The sequence below is a fragment of the Homo sapiens genome, chromosome 1 (assembly GCF_000001405.40).
Source record: "Homo sapiens chromosome 1, GRCh38.p14 Primary Assembly".
Classification (NCBI taxonomy): Eukaryota; Metazoa; Chordata; class Mammalia; order Primates; family Hominidae; genus Homo; species Homo sapiens.
In genome coordinates this window covers 101321879-101347444 of record NC_000001.11, presented here as the reverse complement: position 1 = coordinate 101347444, position 25566 = coordinate 101321879, and the positions used below count along the sequence as shown (strand labels likewise).

Below are 25566 nucleotides of genomic sequence, written 5' to 3'. Positions count from 1 at the left end.
AATGTGTAAATTCCAGGAAACACACAGTCTCTCAGAATTGAATCAGGAAGAAATTGAAACCCTGAACAGCCCAATATTGAGTTCCAGAATTGAATAAGTAATAAAAAACCTACCAACCAAAAAATGCTTTGGACCAGATGGATTCACAGCCAAATTCTACTGGATGTACAAAGAAGAACTGGTACCAATTCTACGGAAACCATTCCAAAAAATCAAGAAGGGAGGACTCCTACCTAACTCATTCTGTGAAGCCGGCATCACTCTGATATTAAACTGGCAAAGACAAAACAAAAAAAGGAAACTACAGACCAATATCCCTAATGAACACAGATGCAAAAATCCTCAACAAATATGAGCAAACCAAATCCAGCAGCACATCAGAAAGTTAATTCAGCATGATCAAGTAGGCTTCATTCCTGTGATATAAGGTTGGTTCAACATATACAAATCAATAAATGTGATTCACCACATAAACAGAATTAAAAACAAAACCATATTGTCATCTCAATAGATGCAGAAAAAGCTTTTGATAAAATCCAACATTCTTCATGATAAAAATCCTCAAGAATCTAGGAATCAGAGGAACATACCATAAAATAGTAAGAGTCATCTATGACAAACCCACAGCCAACATTGTACCGAATGGGCAAAAACTAGAAGCATTCCCCTTGAGAACTGAAACAAGACAAGGATGCCCATTCCCACCACTCCTAGTCCACATAGTAATGGAAGTACTAGCCACAGTAATCAGGCAAAAGAAAAAAAAAGGGTAATAAAAGGCATCCAAATAGGAAAAGCAAAAGTGAAACTATCTCTCTTTGTGATAGAGTGATATACCTAGAAAACTCTAAGGCCTCCACCAAAAGGCTCCTGGAAATGATAAACACCTTTGGTAAAGTTTCAGGACACAAAATCAATGTAAGAAAATCAGCAGTATTTCTAGACACCACTAACATTTAAGCTGAGAGCCAAATCAGGAACACAATCTTATTTACGATAGCCACACACACAAACAAAAAAATGCTTAGGAATATATCTAATGAAGGAGGTGAAAGATCTCAACAAGGAGAACTATAAAACACTGTTGAAAGAAACAGATGACACAAACTGGAAAAACATTCTATGCTCATAGATGGGAAGAATCAATATCATTAAAATGGCCATATTGCCCATTCCATTTTTCCTGCAATCTCACCAACATCTGTTATTTTTTTTGTTGTTGTTTTAGTAATTTTTAAAGTAATAGCCATTTTGACTGGCATGTGATGCTATCTCACTATGGTTTTTTTCATATGCTTTTGGCTTCTCAAAAGAAGACATACAAGCTACTAACAAACATATGAAAAAATGTTTAACATCACTAATCAGAGAAATGCAAATCAAAACCGCCTTACTAGGTCAGCATAAGTAAGAGAATTAGTTGTTTATCTTAAGCGAATTAATGTAGGAAAAGAAAACTATATACCACATGTTCTCACTTAGTGGGAGCTCAACATTGGGTAGTCACGGACGTAAATATGGCAACAATAGAAACTGAGGACTACTGGAGGGAGAGGGGTGAGGGTTGAAAAACTAACTATTGAGTAATATGCTCAGTACCTGAGTGACAGGATCATTCATACTCAAACTTCAGCATCACACAATGTACCCAGGTAACAAAGCTGTACATGTACCTCCTGGATCTAAAATAAAAGTTGGAAAAAAAGTTACTATAAAAAAGTTATTTAAAAAAGTTACTATAAAATTAAATTTTAAATAAAGAAGGCTGAAAATTTGGACAGAACTTGAAAAGAGAAAACTCTTCTCTGAGGGAAGACTAAATTCAGCTTGGGTCATGATGTGTTTGAGAGGATGATGTATTCATTAGACAGTTAAAAGGGGATATCATTAGATACAAATACCGTAATAAATTCAAAATCAAGTGCATCTCAAATGCTCCTCTCATCCTCCAGTTGGTGTCTTTTCCAAAAAGAAAATGAGCTTGATTTGGTATAAATTACTTTAAGTGGCATGGATGTCATGAAAATGGATGCAACAATGGGTAGTGACAATAGATGACAATGAAGGACCACCACTTTTTTTTTTGCAGTTTGCAAGCCATCTGCTTAACAATCTGTTTAATAATAAAAACCAATGGTTAGCCTAATTTTGCATCATTTTTAGAAATTATCTTTTGCCCTTTTTGGAAGATTAATACAACATTGCACATCTCTAAATGTCTTCATTTTGTTATTGACCATTATTCCTCGAAGATAAATGATGACAGTCTGGCTTCCCTGCATGTCTTCTCACAGCCCAGGGATATCATCCATCTGGGGTGGAGATTCGATCTTATTAAAAACAACTAATTCTCTTACTATGCTGACCTAGTGAGGATTGCCGTTCCCTTTTAATATTACTTGTTTGGGCTTTCCAATCTGAAATTATTTTTGTGGGCAAAGAATATGAAAACAAAATAGGACTTAAATAGTTTTGCTTTCTCTTTGTAATAGACAGTCAGCATTACACCATCTGTTTCATTCAGGTCAGAAACATGCCTTGTTTTTGTGTCTCCCACATGTTAAATCAAAGTTGAAATGTTGCTGTCCTTGGCATTTGGGGGAGTCTGCGTGCCTGCAGGTTTCCTAACACTGGTCTTATTGATTTCTGCCAATCTTTTGAATTCCCTCTTAGCCGTGGGTCCCTCCTTCTGTGTTTTGTGAATATGCTGCCTATGGGTCCTTTATATAAACTCCTCTTTATATCCTTATTGAAGTCAGTTGTAATTGCAATGTCAGAGAAATGCTTTTTACACTGTGTTTTTTTGCCAGTTACTATTTGTAATAATGGAGTTAATACCTATCTTTCCTCTTCACAGTTTTCAGTCTGATTTCCTGAAGTTCAGTTTATAAGTCTGATAATAACCAGCATCCTTGACAATCATGAATACCAAGATCAATTTCTTTTAAAATTCAGATCACCATTACTTTACTCATATGCTCTCTTCTTTGTTGGTCATAGTTAAGCTCCAAGTAGCAGTGCATTGTATTCTCAAACTTCTGAGAGACTGAATTATCTCCAAGACAAGAGGATTCTAGTGCTCCGTATTTGTCGGATTAGAGCTCCCAGCAAGATGGATTAGAGCATCTTGAGATGCTCCCATAGTGATGCTTGGAGCTGTAATCCAAAAAATACAAAGCACCAGTACCTTCACCCTCCCATCATATCACCTTGCTTCCATGCTGACCTTGAAGTTTCCATTAAGAAATCATCATCTGTGTTTCTTTCCTGCATAAGTGTTCAACAATGCCCACTACCTTTTGTCCTTAGAAAAATGTTCCATACCATTTAATTATTAATTTAACAAATCCATATTAAGAATATGTATAGTGCTATATTAGCTTGTGAGGGCTGCCATAACAGAGTACCACAGACTGGGTAGCTTGAACAACAAAAATTCATTTTCTCACGGTTCTTGAGGCTCAAAATCTGAGATCAAGGTGTCATCAAGATTGGTTCTTTCTGATGATCATGAGGGAGGATCTGTTCCAGGCCAGGCCTCTCTCCTTAGCATGTAGATGGCCATCTTCTCTCCGTGTCTTCACATCATCTTCCCTCTGTACATGCCTGTGTCCAAATTTACCCTTCTTAAAAGACCACAAGTGAGATTGCACTAGGGCCCCCCTTAATAACTCTAATAGCTTCATTTTAATTTAATTGCCTCTGTAAAGATCCTGTCTCCAAATATGGTACATTCTAAGGTACTAGGGGTTAGAACTTCAACATATGTATTTTTGTGGGGATACCATTCAGCCTCAGGGCGGTCTTATGTACATATACTCTAAGCCAGTCACTGTTCTAAGCCCTGGGAATATAGAAGTGAATGAAACAAAGTCCCTCCCTTCATGGACTTTATTTACACTCCAGTGGAAACAGGGGAAGATAAACAATGAACAGTAAGTATATGCTGTAATGCCAGCAAACAGTATTTAGAATCCAAACAGGGCAAAGAAATAGAGAGTACCAGAGAGGGGATGGAGCTGGGAGGGCTGTAATTCTAAATGAGGTCAGAATGGAACAGAGAGAGACATGAATAAAGAGAGGGACAAACCACCTAGTTGTGCAAGAGACCTGCATTCTAGGCAAAGGGAACAGCACATGCAAAGATCTGAGGCAGGGTTATGGTAGGCATATTCAACAAACAGAAAGGAAGGACCCTGAGTCAGGAAAAGGAATGGCAGAGTATTAGTCCATTTTCACGCTGCTGATAAAGACATACCCGGGACTGGGCAGTTTACAAAAGAAAGAAGTTTAATTGGACATACAGTTCCACATAGCTGGGGAGGTCTCACAATCATGGCGGAAGGCAAGGAGGAGCAAGTCGCACCTTACGTGGATGGCGGCAGGCAAAAAAAAAAAAGAGTTTGTGCAGGGAAACTCCCACTTTTTTTAAACCATCAGATCTCTTGAGATTCATTCAGTATCACGAGAACAGCATGGGAAAGACCCACCCCCATGGTTCAATCATCTCCCACTGGGTCCCTCCCACAACATGTGGGAATTCAAGACAAGATTTGGGTGGGGACACAGCGAAACTATATCAGGCAGGAAATGACATCATCCATGTATTGGGTCCTGTAAGAATTTGAATTTTGGCTGGGTGCAGTGGCTCATGCCTGTAATCCCAGCACTTTGGGATGCCGAGGTGGGCAGATTACCTGAGGTCAGGAGTTTGAGACCAGCCTGGCCAATATGGTGAAAGCCTATCTCTACTAAAAACACAAAAAAACTAGCCAGGTGTGGTGGTGGGCACCTGTAATCCCAGGTATTCAGGAGGCTGAGGCAGGAGAATCACTTGAACCCGGGAGGCAGAGGTTGCAGTGAGCGGAGACAGCCCCATTGCACTCCAGCCTGGACAACAAGAACAAAACTCCGTCTCAAAAAAAAAAAATTGAATTTTATTCTCAGTGTTATGGGAAGCAATTTGAGGGTTACAAGCAAAGAACTGATATGAGGAAGAAAATTGTACCAAACCTGGATTTAATGAGATAAAATTCACAACCTCTTTTGAGAATTACAGAGAATCCCTGATAAAATGCTTACTTAAACAACTTTCTGGTACACTTTATTGAAATTAGAAATTCTTTCTGAAAAAGAAATTCATCACCCACCTACCTGACTGTGGGTCTCGTGACGGCCTGACAGTCTTAAGGTCCTTACTTAAACATTCATGTAAAATATCTCTATTAAGCAGGAGTCTTTGAGTTGGCTTTTTCAAAAGCATCTTCTCTTACCAAAGTTTGAAATTGAACTTTGACACATGCCTGTCATCAAATTGTCTAAGAAGTTGCTTGAACAAATAAAATCATTTTTGAAGGATCACTGTAGGTTCCGGATAACTCACTGTAGAATTTCCATTTGGGTGTTGATCTTCTTCTATTATACCTGTTTCTTTTGCATATTCCAGGCATAGCTCTCTTAATTGTGCTAGTTCCTTTCCAATCTAAATTTAATACTCAGGTCCTCTGTCTCTAACATAATCTATTTAAATTTCAAGAGGATAAATGATTACAAAATATCTGAAAGCCAAAGCAAGTCCATTTCTGATAGAAACTGATCTTTCTGGAATAATAAGAAGCCACCTAACTCCCCTCCTCTGTCTTACAACTTCCTTCTTCAAAATCATAGTTAAATATATGCTAAGAGCCAACAATGATTTGAAGACAGTGAAACCAATTAAATAAAACTGATAATCCTTTTCCTACTAAAAAAAAAAAAAAGGCAAAAGACTGTTATACTTAAACGATTTACGTTTTCTGAGCTAAGCATAACGTTAGTATTCACTAAGGGAGTCCCAGCCAACATCAAGGAGAAATCACACTGTCAACAGAAGTCATGTCTTATATCATCTGGTAGTACGGAGTGTTGTCAGTCTCAAATTATAAAGTAAGTCTTATTAATGAGAAGGGACAAATTAGAAGTTTTTAGATATTCCAAGGCTCTGCGGGGTTTTGTTTTGTGTATGTATACAAAACATAAAATTGTCTCCTAATAAAGGACTTACAAAAAACGAAATTTTTTAAAAAGTCAAATGAAATCCAGCTCTATTTCACCAAGATGGGCAAGTACAATATTAGCCATTATTGGAGCTTTCTCCCTCCGCAGGGGTTCCATAAACCTGGGAACCAGGTAGAAACAGGTTCCTGATTGCTATCTTTTACCACACCCACCCTCTCAACTTTGTTTATTGAAGAGTAAGTACCTGTTGGAAATATGAATTTATTATCTAGTTGAGATTTTATTTATTTATGAAACCCGCAGGGAAAAAAATGGATGAGGGACACAAAGAATGGATAGAAAGGGAAGGCAAGAAAGAAGAAAGGAAGGAAAAAGGAAAAAAAGGACAGACAGAGAGGTAAAATTGAGGATTTTAATAAAGAATCAGTGCATGCGAAGTAGTTTACACTCAAGAGATTATTTACTTTAACATAAAATTACCTGAGTATATTGCAAGTTAAAAATTATTAGTGCTACATTAAGCAACTGGGAAATTAGGGGCTTGCACTGACAGGCAGCACATAGACTAAAAATTGGAACCTGGAAATTAGTAATTAATGTCAGAGTAGTGATGCATTTTCTTCCAAATGAATTGTACCATTTTTTGCCTAGATATTTCAAGCATTCTGTATGCAATGTTACTGACAGTCCTTGTTAATTCCAGCTAAATATATCTAAAATGTATTATACAATATACCAGATCCCCCTCTATTACTAAATTTCTAAGTGAAGAGCATCATAGAAAATGCTTTCACATTACGGCTGATTTTTATTTGATAGCTTTTATTTAACAATCAACTTCTCACAGACTCATCTTAAATTTGATATAGCCCATATTACAAAGAACATTTGCATTTTTGTCCCCTCGCCCTCAGTTAAAATCTACAGATCACTGTGGGTAGCAGCATCTGAGCAGGAAGCATGACTTCGCATGCACCATCTTTCCTTGAGCTCAAACATTCTGTACGATGCACTGCTGTGATTTCCTGGAATCTGGCTTTGTCCCTCCACAAAGCCATATCTGTGGATATTTTGGGTCATAAACTACTCATGGTGCATAAGAATTGGGGCTTAACTAGGTTATGAGGTCAAAACAAAGATCGTTCTTTCATATACATTGAATGCACATAGACCCATCTGTCTATGCCCAGAGACAAATCCATCTGAGATAAACCAGTGGAATTCAAATAAACATTTATTCCACTGTTTTCAAAATTTTGGTGGACTGAAATTAATTAAAAATAAAAACCTAAGTTTAAATGCAGGATCTTAGTAATAATCTTAAAAATACTTTACACTTTATTTGAGCCAAGTCACTTGGCATATGACGGGTTAACTGAAACATTTGGAAAGGTTCAGAATAAGACTGCCGGGCTTAGCCTAGCTCAAATTCTGAGGTTTTTTTTTTTTATATTGACTAAGGAATTAGGAATTAATTATCCACTTTCAAATTTCAAGGTAATTGCAAAGTAGAGATACTGAAAGTAATTACTTAATTCATGTGTTGTCAGTCACCCAGAGTTTGCTGGAGCTCCAACTGTACTGATTCCATGTCAAATTGGGTAAGCCAGTCTCTGCATGAACACTTAATTATACCCCCTTTGTTATGCTGTAGAAAGTTAAGTGGTAGATTCATTGAACTAAATAGCCTTGATAAACACTACCAAACTCATTTTAAAAATCAATAAGAACCAAGTAGGCATTTCTACTGGACATTTAAGCGAAAATTTAAATGTGAGCCAAGTGTTCTTCTTGTTTTATTCATGTTAATTATTTGAATGTTACATTTATAGCCTGACTAATGTTACCCTAAGTTGATTTCTGGTGTGAGACCTTGTCACTCAGACAACCTATAGCCCCAGGCCCCCAAATTAGAACACTCTCTCCAATTACAAGGAACAATTTATGGTTATGTTTCACAAAATAATAAGAGGTTCAATCTCCCTTCCACCCTTGTCTATCCCCAACTTTTTTCAGGACAGTTGTTCTCAGAGAATGACACCAACCATTAATCTCTGCAGCCAACAATTGCAGATGCAAAAAAATCTAGCACTGGGAGGCCAGATGCAATTTATTCTTCACCTCAGAAAAAATATCTTGACATGCCCTACACCATTGGACCCCTAAATTTCACTGAGGTAGAATATAATCACCCGATGAGTTCTTACTGACCACTGCACAGATACAGCCAACTTGCCAAGACAGTGGCATTGCAGTAAAGAAAGAGTTTAACACACACAGAGCCAGGTAAGCAGAAGGACAGGAGTTTCAGAAGCCCTGAAAATTTGGAGGCTAAAGTTTTTTAGAGATACTTTGGCAGGCAGGGGGCTGAAGAATGGGGAATGCTAACTGGTCGGGTTAGGGAGGAAATCACAGGGAGTCAGAGCTTGTCTTCTTGCACTGAGTCAGATCCTGGGTAGAAGCCACAGGACCAGATGAGCCAGTTTACTAGTCTGGGTGGTGCTAGCTCGTCTATCAGAATTCAGGGTCTGAAAAATACTTCAAACACCCATCTTGGGTTTTATGATAGTGATGTTATCTATAGGAAAATTTGAGAAGGTTAGAAATCTTGTGGCCTCCGGCTGCATAACTGCGGAGCCACATTTTCTAATCTTGTGGCTAATTTGTGAGTTTTACAAAGGCAGTCTGGTCCCCAGGCAAGGAGGGGGTTTGTTTTAGGAAGGGGCTGTCATCATCTTTGTTTCAAAGTTAAACTACAAACTAAACTATTCTAATAGTTCATCTGGCCTATGCCCCAGATGAACAAGGATAGCTTGGAAGTTAGAAGCAAGATGGAGTTGGGTAGGTCCTATTTTTTCCAGTGTCATAATTTCTTATGTCAGATTTTTCTCACTGTTATAATTTTTGCAAAGGCAATTTCAGGAGGGTCCCTGAATTTTAGTCATATTTATTTCCCACTTCTGACATGCAAATTTCTCATCAATAAGTGTAAAGTAGCTGCTACTTCTTGCTCACTAGGTCCAGTCAGCTTAATGTCATCAATGTAATGGAGCAGTGTGGTATCTTACTGAAGGGAAGGGCAATGGGCAATCAAGATCCCTGCAAACTAAGTTACAACTTAGGACTGAACTGTTTACCTGTTTACATACCCATGAGGTAGAAGGTGTATTGCTGGCCTTGCTAGCTGAAAGCAAACTGTTTCTGGTGGGCCTATGGACAGACATGGAGGAAAAAGCAATTGTCAGATTAACAGCTATATAACAAGTACCACGATGTGTTAATTTGTTCAGTCAATGAAACCACATCTGGTATAACAGCTTCAATTGGAGTCATAACTTGGTATAGTTTACAGTAATCCACTGTCATTCTCCAAGATTCATCTGTCTTCTGCACAGGCCAAATAGCATAATTGAATGGGAATGTTGTGGGGATTAGCACTGCTACATCATTTAAGTTCTTGTTGGTGGCACTAATGTCAGCAGTGCCTCCAAGAATGTGGTATTGTTTTTAATTTACTATTTTCCCAGATAGAAATAGTTATAATGGCTTCCATTTGGCCTTTCCCATCATAACAGGTGAGACCCAATGTGGGGATTTTGCCAACTACTAGGTATGTTTATTCTAATTGTGCATCTGGCACTGGGGAAATAACCACCGGATGGGCTCAGGGACCCACTGGACCCACTGTGAGACTGACCTGAGCTAAAACTCCATTGATCACCTGAGCCCCATAAACCTCTCCTGTGACTGGAGGGACACAGTGATGTTTTGGGTCTCCTGAAATCAATGTCAGTTCAGAGCCAGTGTCCAGTAGTCCCCAAAATTCTGATTATTTCCTTTTCCCAACACACAGTTACCCTAATAAAAGGCCATAGGTGCCTTTGGGAGAGGCTGGGAGAAAGATTAACAGTCTAAATTTGTAGTAGTGTACCAAGGGCCTTTCTGGAGGGGACTCAATCTCCCCTTTATTCAATGGCTTCTGGGTCTGTAAACTTGCTCAAGTTTGGCAACCGACCGAAGGGCCATGATTCTTTGTTTCTGCAATTTGAGTTAGACTTTTGTTTACAAGACCTAGAAGTTTTCTGCTTACACAAATCAACAAAGAATTTAGTAGGCTTCCTATCTGTTTCACTTCTAGGAATGCCATGATTACTCGCCAGTGTCATAGGTGTGTGCAAATCAGACTGTTCTGACTACTGCTTTGACTCTGCTATTACAGTACCCAGAACTACTTTGCCTTCGGTAGTTGAGTGCCACCATTTAGCTCCTGCTACACCAGAATCCCAGTTACTCCCATTGATTTGGGTAATTTAACTGAATGGCTATGGTTCTCACTGTAAGGTCTGGTGTACAAAGAAGACATATTTATTTCTCCTCCCATATTTATTTCTCAAAGTATTGGTAAGGATATGTTTTTCAGACCATCCCAGTGTTGGTGAATAGGTCTTAAATTACAAATCCACTCTAACATTCCAATCTCCAAAAGCCTTTGAATTCTCTTCTCTACATTAAACCAAGGCAGAACAGCCATTTCCAATTTTCTCACAGTGGAACACCTTTTGATCCATGTCTTAGCCAATAAACCAAACAAAATGTGAGAGCCCTTTCTAACTCTCCAAGCTGCAGTATTAAATGCAGAATCTCTGCCTAGTTAGCCTCTATCAATAAATTCAGCCTGATCTAACTTTATGTTCCTTCCACTGTTATCCAACACCATTAATATCCGTTCCCACATGTATGCCTGGATTTCTACTTATATACCTTAGAAAACTCAACTAGTTATTTTGAAATGTAGCACATTACCTCATGCATGGCGCTTTGTACCTCATCTTTAGGGGTCTACCGGGACTTGAGTCTCATTATAGGACTAGAACAAAGAGGGGTGATCCAATGCTGGATCTGAAGAGAATCAGCATTGTCTTGTATGGTGTCTGCCTCAGCAGAGACTATTACTGTTTCCTCAGGCAATGTAAAGTAATCTTCTCAGAGTGAAGGGAAAAGGCCACTTTTCACTGGGTGGGATGCTACTTTTGCTGGGAGTCGGGGGGCCACTTCCACAAGTAAAAAAAACCCATCAGAATTTAAGGTCTTAATGCCCCCAACTTTAGAATATAATGGACACATGAAATTATCACCTAGCTTTAAAAATAGCATTACCATTGCAGTTGAAGTCCCCTGGGTAACCACTATTCAGATTGTTATTTTTTACATGCATCTCATTATACTTTTCATAATTGTCCACGCATACATTCTATAGAAGTCTTTTAAGTATATAAAGGTTAAAACAGTGCATATATATTTGGCAACATCCTTTTTTCCCTCAAGCGTATGTTTATAGGTCATATATGGGTATTTGTAGTTGTTACTCATTCTTCTTCATTACTGTACAATATTTCATTTTATTTGAATATACCACAATTTACCCATCCATTCTCTTGTTGATGGATGTTGAGGTTATTTCCAATTTTATGTTCTTACAAACAATTCTTCCACAAAGACTCTGTCTTTATCTCTTTCCGTAAGGCAGAGACACTAAGTCAGTATGCTGATCACTTGGGGCACAGAGGGGTTATAGATGTGCCAAGGAATGTATTCTCCTGCCCCCACATTGGCTAGGTCAGGGCTTAGGTTGACCGAAGCCCATCAGTGGTCCATTCTACCCGGGCTGCTTCCCCTGTTTATGCCAGTGTGCACTATGAAATGAGAACCTAAATAACCTCAGTAGGGACACCAAGAATGGAAACCAGATGTGACTGTCTACATTCATATGACTTTACTATTCTACTACACGAGCATTACTTTACCTTCCCAGATGTCTGTTGTCCAGGCCACTGCTTTGATTGTTCATGTCAAAACTTCCAAACGGGCCCACTGACTCTTCAATGGAAAGTACTAACAAACAGTCTGTGCTCTAAGATTCTTTGAATCTCTTGCCTCAAAATCCTTGCCTTGCTGTTTCCATCAATCCTGGACTGTTGTGTCATGATCCTTACCCAATCCTAATAAAATCCCCGCATTGAAGTACTTGGCTTAAACCAAAATTACCATCCTCAGTAAATTCTCACCATGCCTTTCACCTTCGAAGATACCGTCAAAATTCTGTATAGGTGGTAAACTATAAACTAAACTTTGTCTTCTCAACAGGTTGTATTTGGGGAGTTGGCATTCACTTTCAATAGGAACACTCATATTTTCAACATGTGGCAGGACAAAAAAGCTTTGAGAAACATGCCTCTGATGATATCCCTTCCCCATCTAGGATGCCCCCTTCTCTCATTTTTGTCTACCCTTCAGTTGGCCATTTCCAAGCATAAACTCAACTCCAGTCTCCTCTGTGAAAGATTCTTGGAAAATTTTACATCCTGGTCACCTGTCCTATTTGTAAACTCTAGAGGCACATCAGCCTGAAGACAACCCCAGTGACTGGCCATTCTTTACATAAAAATGCTCTTTGGTGCTTCTGTGCTTTTGCATATATTTTCTTGAAACTTAGACTCTCTTCCTCTCCTATGTCAGCCTGGCCAACCTCACCCTTCAAGATTAAGTTCAGGTGCCACGTCATCTGCTCCTTGAAGTCTGATAAATGCCTCCTTCAAAAGTTAGGTATTCATTACTACTCAGCCATAAAAAAGAACAAAATGATGTCTTTTGCAGCAATGTGGATGGAGCTGGAGGTCATTATTCTAAGTGAAGTAAATCAGGTATGGAAAACCAAATACCGTATGTTCTCACTTATTAAGTGGGAGCTAAGCTATGGGTAAGCAAAGACATACAGAGTGGTATAATGGACTGTGGAGACTCAGAAGGGGGAGAGGGAGGGAGGGCAAGGGATAAAAATCTATGTATTGGGTACAATGTACACTACTCGGGTGACCAGTGCACTAAAATCTCAGATTTCATCTCTATACAGTTCATCTGTATAACCAAAAACCACTGTACCCCAAAAGCTATTGAAATAAAAAATTATTTCTTAAAAAAAGTTAGGTATTCCCTTTACTCAGCTCCCCAACCATCCTGTGTTTTCCTCTGTTATAGCAAGCATCACATTGTCCTGTAGCTGTTTAATTATCTTTCTTCCCCAGAAGACAGTAAGTCCTTTGAGTGCTGGGATTTGCATTCACGACACCTATCACAGTACCAGGTACAGGGTTAGTAGTCAAGAAATATTTGCTGAATTAAAATGAAATGAAATAAATTAGATTTACTTCAACCTATAGAACTAGTTCAGCTTTCTCAGGAAACTTGTGGGGTTTTGTTTTGTTTTGTTTTGTTTTGTTTTGTTTTTTAAGACAGAGTCTCGCTCTGTCACCCAGGCTGGAGTGCAGTGGCGCGATCTCAGCTCACTGCAAGCTCCGCCTCCCGGGTTCACGCCATTCTCCTGCCTCAGCCTCCTGAGTAGCTGGGACTACAGGCGCCCGCCACCGCGGCTAGCTAATTTTTTGTATTTTTAGTAGAGACGGGGTTTCACCGTGCTCTGGATCTCCTGACCTCGTGATCCCCCCGCCTCAGCCTCCCAAAGTGCTGGGATTACAGGCGTGAGCCACTGCGCCCAACCGGGGATTTTTTATGGAACAGAATTTGTTGATAGAAAACTGTGGTTTCATTTATATAATTCTGTCAGACTTTTGTCATAAATAAGTTCACAGATTAGGGAAAAGGTCTTTTGCCAAATTCCATGCCCTCATCTTGGTGGATGTATTGTCGTCACTGAATACCACATAATTGCATTTGCTGCAGGATGAACGATTCCTTAGGAGCATGACCTGATCTGCTCTTCTTTTTCCCAGACAATAGACTCACTGGTTGTTGTTGGATGTATATACTGTCACCTGTGAGGAATGGAGGAAACATGATGACCATCTAATGCAGTAAACAATCAAGAACAATCCCCCAAGTCAGTGTAACTGTAAAAATATAGGACAGGCAGACAAGGACCTGGCACTTTAGTTGGTGCAAAATGTTGGATGCTGGAGAGAACATTCAAGAAAGAACTATGGAGTGATGAACTATTTGGAAATATATCGCATGGTTGGTCAAGAGTAGAAAGGAGATGCAATCAGCTGTCTTCCTGAGTAATTGTTTTTTGCAGCAGGTCATTTTTTTAAAGGAAACAGTGTGGGAATTCGTGATGAGGAATAGCTGAGAGAGAACATTTCTACTCCCCAGATTTATTTTGCAGCCTATGTCCGACTAAAGTTGGAAAAACAGAATTACATTCCAATGAAACTGCTTTCTGTACGATGATCAGCAAAAAGGATTCATTTTGGCTGTAAAGGTTTAGGAATTATGTACAGTTACTCCTGAAGTAGGAAGCTCAAGACTAATAAGGGATCTCCCAGCAACTGTCAGATTATGGTCCATCAATCTCGTTTCACCATTATGGTAGCCAAAGCAACTGGATCAATAATTTTAAAGTCCAACTCTTTGTTGTCTTGGAAACAGGATGCCTTACTCCTGAATGGAACGGATCAATTTCTCAGCAATCAAATTGCAAATAATGCTCTGACTAGAATGTATACTTGTTAGTTTTCAGGCACAGTAATTAGAATTCTAGGCAGGTTTTCCTCTCACAGAAGGTTAAGGAGACTTCACCAACACAAAGGACTGAGGTGTTATATATTTGAAATTACTCATTTTTCTATTTCCTTTGTGGCTTCCCAAAGTCACAATTGCTTTCAATAAAGTTGCATGCTTAATTGGTTTTGCTGAAACTAATAAGACTGGTTATTTCAATCTAAGAACTGAAGGTAATGATTATAAATACAGTATTTGAATCACTTGTCATGTATATTCAATTTCTGAAAAAATTATAAACATCTTTCTTATATTGAATCTTTTTGAAAACAGCAAAAATATTTTGTGAGAGGGTTTAATTTTGAGGTGTTAAGCAATTTGCCTCAGTCCTATACAGGAGATCATGAGTGAGAATTTGAATAAAGGAAAATGTTAATGAATCTGTTGGAAAGAAAAATGAAGAAAACAGAAGGTTTAAGGAGAATGTAAGTGCTCTTTAAAATAAGAAGGAATAATTTTAAAAGCAAAATAATTGGGGAAAAACGTTTCTTCCCTCCCTGAAAGCCTAGGATTGAAAGAATTATAATGAGTAAATAATTATAAGAAAGAGAGAACCAGTGACCTTCCAAACATGTGTACCCATATTCTGCCTCATTCTTCCTCTTATGTTAGAGGAAGTGACCCTCCTCCCAGGCCCATTCATGTACCCATGCTTTGGAAAACTCACTTTCCCTCATCCCTGGGACCTTCTGTCTTCTGCAGAAATCAATCTCTCCCTTTCAACTGGATCCCTCTCATCAACAATTATACATGCCCATGATTAAACCATCTTAAGAAAAAAAAAAAAAAAACGCAACTCTCATCACTACAGTTCAATTTAGCTGCTGCTCTTCACAGCCATTCTCTTAAAAGAGTTGTCTAAACCACTGTTTCCATTTTCTCACCTTCCACTCACTAAAACTCACTCCTAAATGGTCTCTGTGACCAACATGCCACGGCATTTAATTGCCAAGTCAACAAATCCAAAGGGCACCTTTTAGCATTTAGGACATGTGATGCTCCCTCAACTTAAAACACTCCTTCCTTCAGATTCCAGGACACCCCACTGGCCTGATTTTCCTCTCTCATCTCTCATTTTTATTTATTTATTTATTTTTGCCTGCTTTGCTGTCTCTTTTTCCTTTGCCAGTCCCCATGGTAGAGTTCCTCAAGACTGTGCCCTCTACCGCCTTTTTTTACTCTTTGTTCTCTCCTTAGGCAATTTCATCTAGACCCATGCTTTTTCCCAGCATCTCTAGTCTCTAAGACTCTCAAACACATACTGCCACCCAGACCTCTCCTCTGAGCTCTCAAACAAGATGCCTAACTCCAACCATGAAATCGCTAATCGAAAGTCTTGAAGGCAACCCAATCTCAATAGGTACATGGCAAAACTCATGCTCTGTCCCTAAAACCTAATCTTACCCCAGAGTTCTCAATTTCAGTGAATGGCACCAAGCCAGATAATATGGTTTGGATTTGTGTCCCCACCCAAATCTCATGTCAAATAATCTCCAGTGTTGGAGGTGGGGCCTGGTGGGAGATGACTGGGTCCTAAGGGTGGATTTCCTCCTTGTTGTTTTTGTGATAGTGAGTGAGGTCTCATTAGATCTGGTTGTTTAAACATGTGTGGCACTTCCTCCTTTGCTCTCTTCCTCCTGCTGCAGCCATGTAAGACGTGCCTCCTTCCCCTTTGCCATCCACCATGATTGAGTTTCCTGAGGCCTCTCCAGCCATGCTTCCTTATAGCCTGCTGAACCCTGAGCCAATTAAACCTCCTTTCTTTATAGATTACCCAGTCTCAGGTATTTCTTTGTAACAGTGTGAGAACAGATTAATACACCAGAATCTTGGCTTCAGTATTTTTCAAATATGTTCGCTCCTTATTATGTCCACTGCTTCTACCCTCACCCAAGCTGCCATCACCTCTTGCAAAGCCTACTACTAGATGGTCTGCCTGTATCTTAACCTCCTCCAGCACATTCACCACATATCAGCCTGTGTGATGTTTTCAAAACCAAAATCTGATGATGTTGCCCCTTATAACACCATTATTGACTCCCCACAAATTGCAAATTAAGGATCAAAATTTTTCGTGTAGACTAAAAAGTCCTGCATTTCTGGCCCTTCTTCACTTTCGAGCATCAAGTAATACCATCCTTTACCTTGTTCTCTATTCTGTAGCCCCACTGACCTTCCTTCAGTTCCTTGGGCTCAGCAATTTTCTTCCACCACAAGGTTTTAACACATGCCACTCCCACGGCTCCCTCTCTCCACTCCTACCTCTAGCTTAGTTAATAATCTACTCATCATTTGTGTCTTAGCTAAACCATCACCTTCCAGAAGATTTCTTGCCACTCCAGTCTAAGTCAGCTTCGTTGTTACAGTTTTTCACAGAAACTCATCCCTTCCTTCAGAGAATTTACCTGTGTTTATAACTGTATATCAATTAGTGCCATCATCGATTAAGTGTCTGCCTCACTGACCTGACTGAAAGCAGGAGTAAGATCCAGATTTGCTCCTGCTCTCCACACTTTCCAAGGAGCCTCGCAGAATAGCCAGCACATAAAGATAGCTTGACAAGCATATGTTTAATAAGAAGTGTTTTTAAAGTATTTCACTATACTTTATCTTCCTGTCATGAAAATTGTGATAAAATATCTCAGAATAGCTGTTAGATGCCTCACACAACTACTTTGCATGAAGGCAAATACCACAAATGTAGAATAAATGTTCTAGAAACTGGAAAATAACTGAGTCCAGGAATTTTAAGGTAAAAAGGTGGAGAATCCATTAAATAATTCCTCAACAATAGTCACTGTGCTCAATGAGAGAAGTTGCTAATGAGAATGTGTTGTGACTACAATGTGTAGAGTAAACAAAAGATGGTCATATTTTTGAGTCTCATCCTCTCAACTTACAAAGTAGATGACTTCCAGAAAGATAAAACAACCTGTCCAAGTTCCTATAATGGAAGAACCAATGGCACCACTACATTTGTATCCTTCCATGCACCTAATATCAGGCTGTGTTCTCAGATGACATATGATAAAGTATATTAATTAAAGGGAACATGTGGCTGGGCATGGTGGCTCATGCCTGTAATCCCAGCACTTTGGGAGGCTGAGGCAGACAGATCACCTGAGGCTAGGAGTTCGAGACCTGCCTGGCCAGCATGGCAAAACCCTGCCTCTACTAAAAACACAAAAATTAGCTGGACTTGGTGGCACATGCCTGTAATTACACCTACTTGGGAGGGTGAGGTGGGAGGATCAACTGAGCCCAGGAGGCAGAGGCTACCGTTGAACGAGATCACGCCACTGCACTCACCCTGGGCAAGAAACTGAGACTCTATCTAAACCAGAGCTTCAAAAAAAATTCCTCAGTTTACTCATCTGTATAATGGATATCATAATAGCATGTGACTTACGAGATTGTTGTGAGGATTGACTAATTCTCACTTACAGGATTGTTGTGAGGATAGAATAAACCCTAACTTTGTGGCTCTCTCCCACTAATTTGTAGGAAATTTACTAGCTTATTTTAAGGGACTGTTGCACTAATGCCTTGCTATGGTCAGTAGCAGAAAGCTACAGTATTCATGCACCAGCTATTATTCCTTTTGCTGTGAGGATTGAATAATGCAAAAAACTATTAGCAAGTACCTGACAGAGAGTAGGGGCTATTTACTTTGGCAACACTGTGCCATTCCTAAAGAATGCCTGCCACCCTTTGCACTGAGAAGACCCTTCAGGAAAGGGGCAACACAGAAGATGTGAAGGACAAGAGCTATATGAAGGACAAGGGCTGGGGGCCTAAGAACCAAGCCTTTAGAGGAGCCCTTTGCCTAATTTCTAGAGTAGTGACAGCATTAAGATCCCAATCATAGAGAAATCTTTTAGTGTTGGGCTTAGAGAGTTCCCCTAGGCCCAATTTGTTATCTATTTTCTTCTTAATGTTCAACATCCTTTCCTGGCAGGATTTCAGAGCAGAAAACATGGTCTTCCTTGTACCAAGTCCTCAGCAGTTTAGGACTTACTTAGCTCAAGCAAGTCATCAAAGGCAAAGCCAAGTCCCAACCCTTAGTGCTTTGACTCCCAAGTCCCACACTCTTCCTCCGAAAAAAGTCACATCGTGTGAGATTGATTTTACCCTCTACTATGCTTCTGTTCGCACAGTAAATGTCAACATTTCTGTTAATTCGGTTCGTGCATTTTTGAGCACTTTTTCTGTTCTTGCAAGACATTGTGATGAAAGTGAAGGACTGAGGTAGCTAATCAAAGGAGAATCAAAAATAACTCCAAAGTGCCTCTTGAATCTGCCTGCTTCTTCAGAGTCACTGCCCCTGCCTCCATTGAGATCACACCTCAAATATTGCAAGAATCTCCTAAGTGGTCTCCATCTCTAGTTGCTTCAATCCTCCATCATTTGTACACACTTCAAAAGTTGTCATTGACTTCATTAAAAACCTTGATGGCACCTCAGTCACTTTGTCAGGGTCTTCCAGTCCTACCTATACAGTAGAATTACCAGGGCATTAACTGTCCAGACCCTATCCCAGAGATTCTGACATTAATTGGTCTGGGTGGGGCCGTTATCTTTTTTTTTTTTTTAATCTCCTGGTGATGTTAAAGTGCAGCCAAGAGTAAAAATTCCTGGCCTACCAAACAGAGCTAGACTTTCTGAACATTGCATTTGAGGCCCTTTACAATTAAGCAACAACCTACTTTTCTCATCTTATCTCCCCCTATTTTATTCCTACCACAACAGCATTTGCTATCATAACCATTTCTTCAGGTCAGCCAGGCGTGGTGGTTCATGCCTGTAATCTTAGCACTTTGGGAGGCCAAGGCAGAAGGATCCCTTGAGTCTAGGACTTGGAGACCAGCCTGGGCAACGTAGGGAGACCCTGTCTCTATAAAAATAAAAATAAGTAATAATACTACTAGTAATAATAGCCATCATTAAGGTATCAGTGGTCTTCATTAGACTATGAGCCCAATAAGGCCAAAAACTATGTCATTTATGTCTGCCTCCCTAGTATCTGTCACAGTGCCTGAAATATAAGAACTGCTTAATGAATATTGGTTGAATGGACAGATGGATAAATGGATGAACAGACAGATAGGTGAGTGGATAGATGGATAAATTCTGAACTAATCTGATCAGGGTCCTATGGGACTGCTCTTCTACAACTGAATTATCAGGCCTAAAAATGAAGGTTCTTATGTCAATATGCCTCTACTATTTATTTCAGAAAATTCTTGCCCAGGAAAGTAAAAGTGTGAATTATTGGTCTACAAATCCTAAAGTGTTATAATCTGAACTTTGTCTGATCCAATCAGACCACTACATTGAAAGTGAACCTACTTTCAACCAGACCTCCAAACCCTATAAATTTATGCCCCTAAGCTCTATCTTCTGAAACCTTAGACATTGTCAAGGGGGTGTTCTCCCTAAATCAGCAAGTAATGAATTCAGCTTTGTTTGATCAGTAGTTTATTCACTTGTCTTTTGGAAATATGGAAATAAGCATCTACATTCTTTCCTTGTAGTGCTTTGACTAAGTCAGCTACATTGTCAAATGTCTCTACCTGTAAAATGAGTCCAGTAGTATTTGTCACATGTCTTCCTCATGGTCTTCTTTGGAAGAATTAAATATGCTATAATTTTCTACAGCACGTTGAGATCCAAGGATCTCAAAGCCTTTTCTTTCTGCCAAGTATTAAGTATGTTACATGAATAGCACTGCTTCTGAGAGTGGCAGAGAAAAGGATTTCATAGCTCCAAGTACTGTGCTGTCAAACTGGTCATTCTCCAAACACAATGACTTTATCATACCATTACATAAGAGCAATACGATGGGAAGGACTGGATGAAAATTATGACTGTTAACTTGCTGCTAGTTTCCTAATTAAGAACTAAAGAATGCTTCCCAACTGCTGATTTCTTTATTTGACTTCATTAGAAAATCACTCATGGATGGATTCATAATTACTCTTAAATTACAAGTACTTGTTTATTAATGTTACCAAACTCAGAAGCAGTACAACTGTCTATGATATGTCAATTTTAAAATGCTGTGAAGCAAACTGTTACTCTGTGTTAATTATGTTGAACTTTTCACATTTTGGATTCTAAATGGCACTAATGCTTTTACAGACTTGGAACATTCTATCCTTATGCTTCACAGTGAGAAAGAAAAACTACCTACTGTTCATTATCTAACAAATGGGTAGATAGAAAATAGTTAATACCACTAAAAAAAGATCGTAAACCAAGCTGCATTCCATTTCAATAAAATCTGATTAGAGAATAAATTAGCATTAATTTTTATTTTTTTTGAGACAGAATCTTGCTCTGTCACCCAGGCTGGAGTGCAGTGGCACAATCTTGACTCACTGCAACCTTCGCCTCCCAGGTTCAAGCGATTCTCCTGCCTCAGCCTCCCGAGTAGCTGGGACTACAGGTGCACGCCACCACGCCCAGCTAATTTTTTGTATTTTGTTAGTAGAGACGGGGGTGTTTCACCGTGTTGTCCAGGCAGGTCTCGAACTCCCGACCTCAAGTGATTTGCCCACCTCAACCTCCCAAAGTGCTAAGATTACAGGCGTGAGCCACTGCGCATTAGAATTTCTATGCAAGAAAAAAAATGCAATATTGGTTTCGACAGCGACAGGAGTTAGCCAAAGGTCCCCGGGCGAAACCCCTCCTTAAAGCCTAAAGCAGCTTGAAGCTGAAAAACCAGACTGCTGGTCCGGATGAAGCCTGCCCTTTCCCAGCTGATTCTTTCTGAATAATGCCCACCTGCGCACTGGGAGGACGGGGAGGAGCCTGGTCTCTCCGGTTCCCACGTAGTAACCTGGGATTCAATCTGTGAGATGGGAAACCTGCTAGCAGGACTTTCTCTAGCTTTGCAGAGAGTTATTTTTCCCTTTCCTTTTTGTCCAATACATTCCGTTCCCCCTCACACTTCAAAGTGTCTTCGTGCCTAACTTTTCCTGGTCGTGTGACAAGAACCTGGCTTTTTCTACAGTTTCGTAAGTGTCTCTACCAATTCTTGTTGCCTGGGTATTTAAGATGCAAAGAAGAGGTCTAGAGATTTAGTGAATAAGTCTTTGGAGAAGGACTCTACTAAAGTTTCTAAGTTTATCCATACATGTTGAGGTGTGTATAATTCAAAAGATATAATTTGACATTAAAATTATAATGCAGAATTTACTGGACAATACTGAAAAACATGAGAACTGTGAGGTTTTCTACGAACTTGAAGTAATTGCTTTTATCCTTGTCAAGATTCACTGAAACTGGATTTATAATCACCAAAGAGGGTCCTGTAGGAAATAATTATGTACTCTATAAGACCTTTCCAATTTGTACTAATTAACTAAAACACCCATGGTGAATTATAAAATTTTGTGAACTGAAGAAATAAATAATATGATTAAGACCCCAAGGCAATGAATCAAGCCCAGTGTCTTCATTGTACATAGAACAATGCCCTTCAATGGTGACCAGACTGTATCTTAGCAACACAATAAGCTCTTCACTGGTAACAAAGAACATATAATAGTTAAAGCAAATAATTGCTCATCCCCAGTTTTGTATTCTAGTCTTGGTTTTGCTACTAATTTGTAGATCTAGTAAATCACTAATCTACCTTCATGTCTCTAGGTCTCTTTCCATAAAATTAAAGGAAATGTTGTAGGATATTTAGCAAGGAGAGCAAAGATCTGGACTACGTTAAATAATATTAATGTAACTCAAATTTGAGGTCAATCAGAAAAGAAAGAAAGGTAAATGTTAAAGAAAGCTCAAATGTCCCCTTAACATTCGACATGGTTCCACAAAACACTGCTTGTTCTTTGGATAGTCTCCAGAGAGCAGCCTTCAAATCTTTATTATAAAGTATTGTCAAAGCCCAGCCACATGGAACAATGGTGATTTTTTTTCCCCTCTCTCCACTAGCCCTTTTGGCTCCGTATTTCCTTCTTCCTGCCTTGACAGTGGGATGATTTCAGGAGCAAATTAGGGCCAAGGGAAAAGATTTTGGTTCCTCATCTACCTCCCTCCAAGCTCCTCTCCTAAGTATCTGTCCCACTCTGAATACCACCTTGTTACAGAAAGGGCAAGCAAAACCCTGGAAAACTCCCACCACTATTACTCCCTCTGCCCCATACCCATCCACCTAAGGAGGCCAGGAAACCCCATTGTGTTTGGCATCCACTCCTAGGCATGTCATAAAAACACACTATCAGAAGGCATCAGTGACTTTTTTTCATGTCTATTAAAGGAATATGAAGTTTTTTTAAAACAAAACAAAAAAAAACTTCTCTTTGCCCCTCTCCAGGGTGTTACTGGTGGAGGGTGTCAAGGTTCTTGGCATTTTGAACAAAGAATTGGACAAAATGCACAAACAAAGCAAGGAAAGAATGAAACAACAAAAGCAGAGATTTATTGAAAACAAAAGCACACTTCACAGTGTAGGAGCAGCCCAAGCAAGCGGATCAAGAGTGCTGGTTACAGAATTTTCCAGGGCTTAAATAGCCTCTAGAGGTTTCCCATTGGTCACTTAGTGCACACCCTATATAAATGAAGAGGAAATGAAGTTACAAAGTTATTTACTCAGTGTACACCCTATGCAAATGAAGAGGATGTTTTCTGCCATAGTTAAGGTAAAGTTACAAAATTACTTACGTGGGTGAAGAAGGTTGGGATTTAGTTCTAGGAAGTCCTTAGTTTCCCTGCCTCCAGACCCTATTCCCCTGCCTCAAGGGTATTATCTTTTGCTGCTAAAGAATCCAAGTCCAAACATTGCAATGAGCCCCAGAAAACGCAGCTACTAAGAACTACACTCAAATCTTACCAAAGGTGTCACCGTGGTGGCCGTTCTCGTGGTCCTTTCATCAGATGAAAATCCATCTCAGAGAGAGGCAAAGCACTCATTTACAAATTAGTTCCCTTGCAGTTAATATATTGTTGCTAGAATTTAATGCTATCCTTATCTTTCATTACTTACAGCCAATGTATTAATATCCCATGTTTCTTCCAATATGATTTCAATCTTCTTATTTAGCTTGTTCTAAACTCAACCACTTTGCAGTAATAAACCTGCTTCCCCTAATTAACTGCTCATGGGGGGCCCACACTACCCTGCAAGGAAGTGATTACTAATGTGAAGTGTTCAAATGGCCCCAGTGGGGGGCCAGGATGCCAGCAAGCTCAGTATTCACAGTTCCATCAATTTCTTCATAATTATGAGCTTGGATTCTCATAATTTGGAGTAGCAAAAACCTTCTAACTGGTACCTTAAAATCTACCAAATAAACATTTACATGCCGATTCACTCCATGGCCAGGACTGCAACAATGAACACTAGAAATGTATTTATTATTACTAAATTAAAGAGCTCTTATTGATATGCTTACCAAAAAACATCACTATGCAAGGCACTGAAGATTAAAGCACACATAAGCCACAGTCAGTTCTCCAAATCTCACTGGCAAGCAGGGGAACTTCACAGGAAGGGTATTTCCAACAGAAGATAACATTAAAAGTCCTGTGCACATAAAAATATCATAAACCGTTACAAGATTAATTGCCAAATAAGTAGATTCAATGATTCACAATAGTAAGAGATCATTTGGGATAGAACGGACTGGGAAGGTTTCAAAATTTTGAAGATGCTTAGGCAAAATATTGACTAAAGTGTGGGAGTTGAGTGGTTACCAATGGAGAAGGACATTCTTAGTAACTGCAAATTGCTCATTTAATAACTATTATGTGAATACCAATCAACTCAGGGCATTATTTATACAAACTTATTTATACTTCTAAACATGGACAGGTAGGTTTTATACCTTGATTTTTTTTTTTCAAAAGAGAACAGGCATAGAAAAATCATACAGCTAATTAGTGGCAGCACCATAATTTAGGCACTCTGACTCCTAAGTCAGTTTATTCACTCAGCTATAATATGTCACCGTTTAAAGTTAGGTGGAAGAAACTGAGTGAGGAAGAACCTGAAGACCAGATACTTTAAATAGATCAGTTTGACGATACAAAAGGGCCCAGGAAGTTGAATCAAGAGAAATAAGAATACAGAGGCAGACTTTGGAGAGCTCTGAACACTATGCAACATGGAGTCACTGAGTAGGTTGAAAAGCTCACTTTGGTTGTTGGATCAAAATTCATTACAGGAGAAAAGACTAGACATAGGAAAACAACTTAGAAGACAAATCATTCAGCAAACATTGTGGTATTCCACATACAACACAATAAGGGCTTGCACTAGCACAGTAGCCATGGAAATGGGCAAAGGACATGGATGGGAAAGACTACAGAAGAACAATCTGCGTGATTTGGCAACTGGCAGAGACTGGCCAGCTTCCTTGCATTTGTTCCTTTTCCAGGACACACAGCTAAACTATACATTCCAATCACCTTTACAGTTACATTGGTGAGGTGCCTAAGTTCCAGCCAAAGGAGCATAACATAAGTGAGGGGCAAGGCAACACTTCCAGGTCTGAGCCGAAAACCTCCCACACCTTACCCTCCTTGTTCTTTTCCCCTTCTATCAAGCAGCCACAGAGCCTAGGACATGATAGAGTGAAAGGATGGAAGGAGCTCAGGTCCCTTCTGCCTGTTTAAAGGAGAGCTACCCAGTGACTAGGGACTCTTATTAGGGATGTAATATGATTGAGAAATGTGCTGCTATCATGAGCTATTATCCATGATAATAGTTTTTACTTATTTTCTATATCAATTAGCATTATCTTAACTAAAACTGCAATAGATCAGATATAGATATGAGATTAAGTGAGAAAGATAATTCTAATAATTTGCACCTAGTGCCAGGAATGATCATTTTAAACACAGAATTGATAAAAGGTAAATAAAGAAGTGGGAGCATTAATTAATTAATTGACAGTTTCATGTCAAAGAGAAGGCAACAGCGGAGCAGCTAAATTGAAATATCCACCTGATTGTTCATGTTATAGGTAAGATAGAGCAAGG

General features: G+C 39.3%; 1 long non-coding RNA gene across 1 annotated transcript in view; it reads right to left on the bottom strand.

Moving 5' to 3' along the window:
• Window positions 1-23608, bottom strand: part of LINC01307 (long intergenic non-protein coding RNA 1307) — a 53477-nt gene extending 29869 nt beyond the window's left edge. The window contains exons 1-3 of the long non-coding RNA NR_126402.1: window positions 23570-23608; window positions 3450-3606; window positions 1600-1682 (exon numbers count right to left, since the gene is read on the bottom strand). This is a non-coding gene — a long non-coding RNA (long intergenic non-protein coding RNA 1307). The remainder of the gene's footprint in view (window positions 1-1599; window positions 1683-3449; window positions 3607-23569) is intronic.
• Window positions 23609-25566: the final 1958 nt, after the last annotated feature.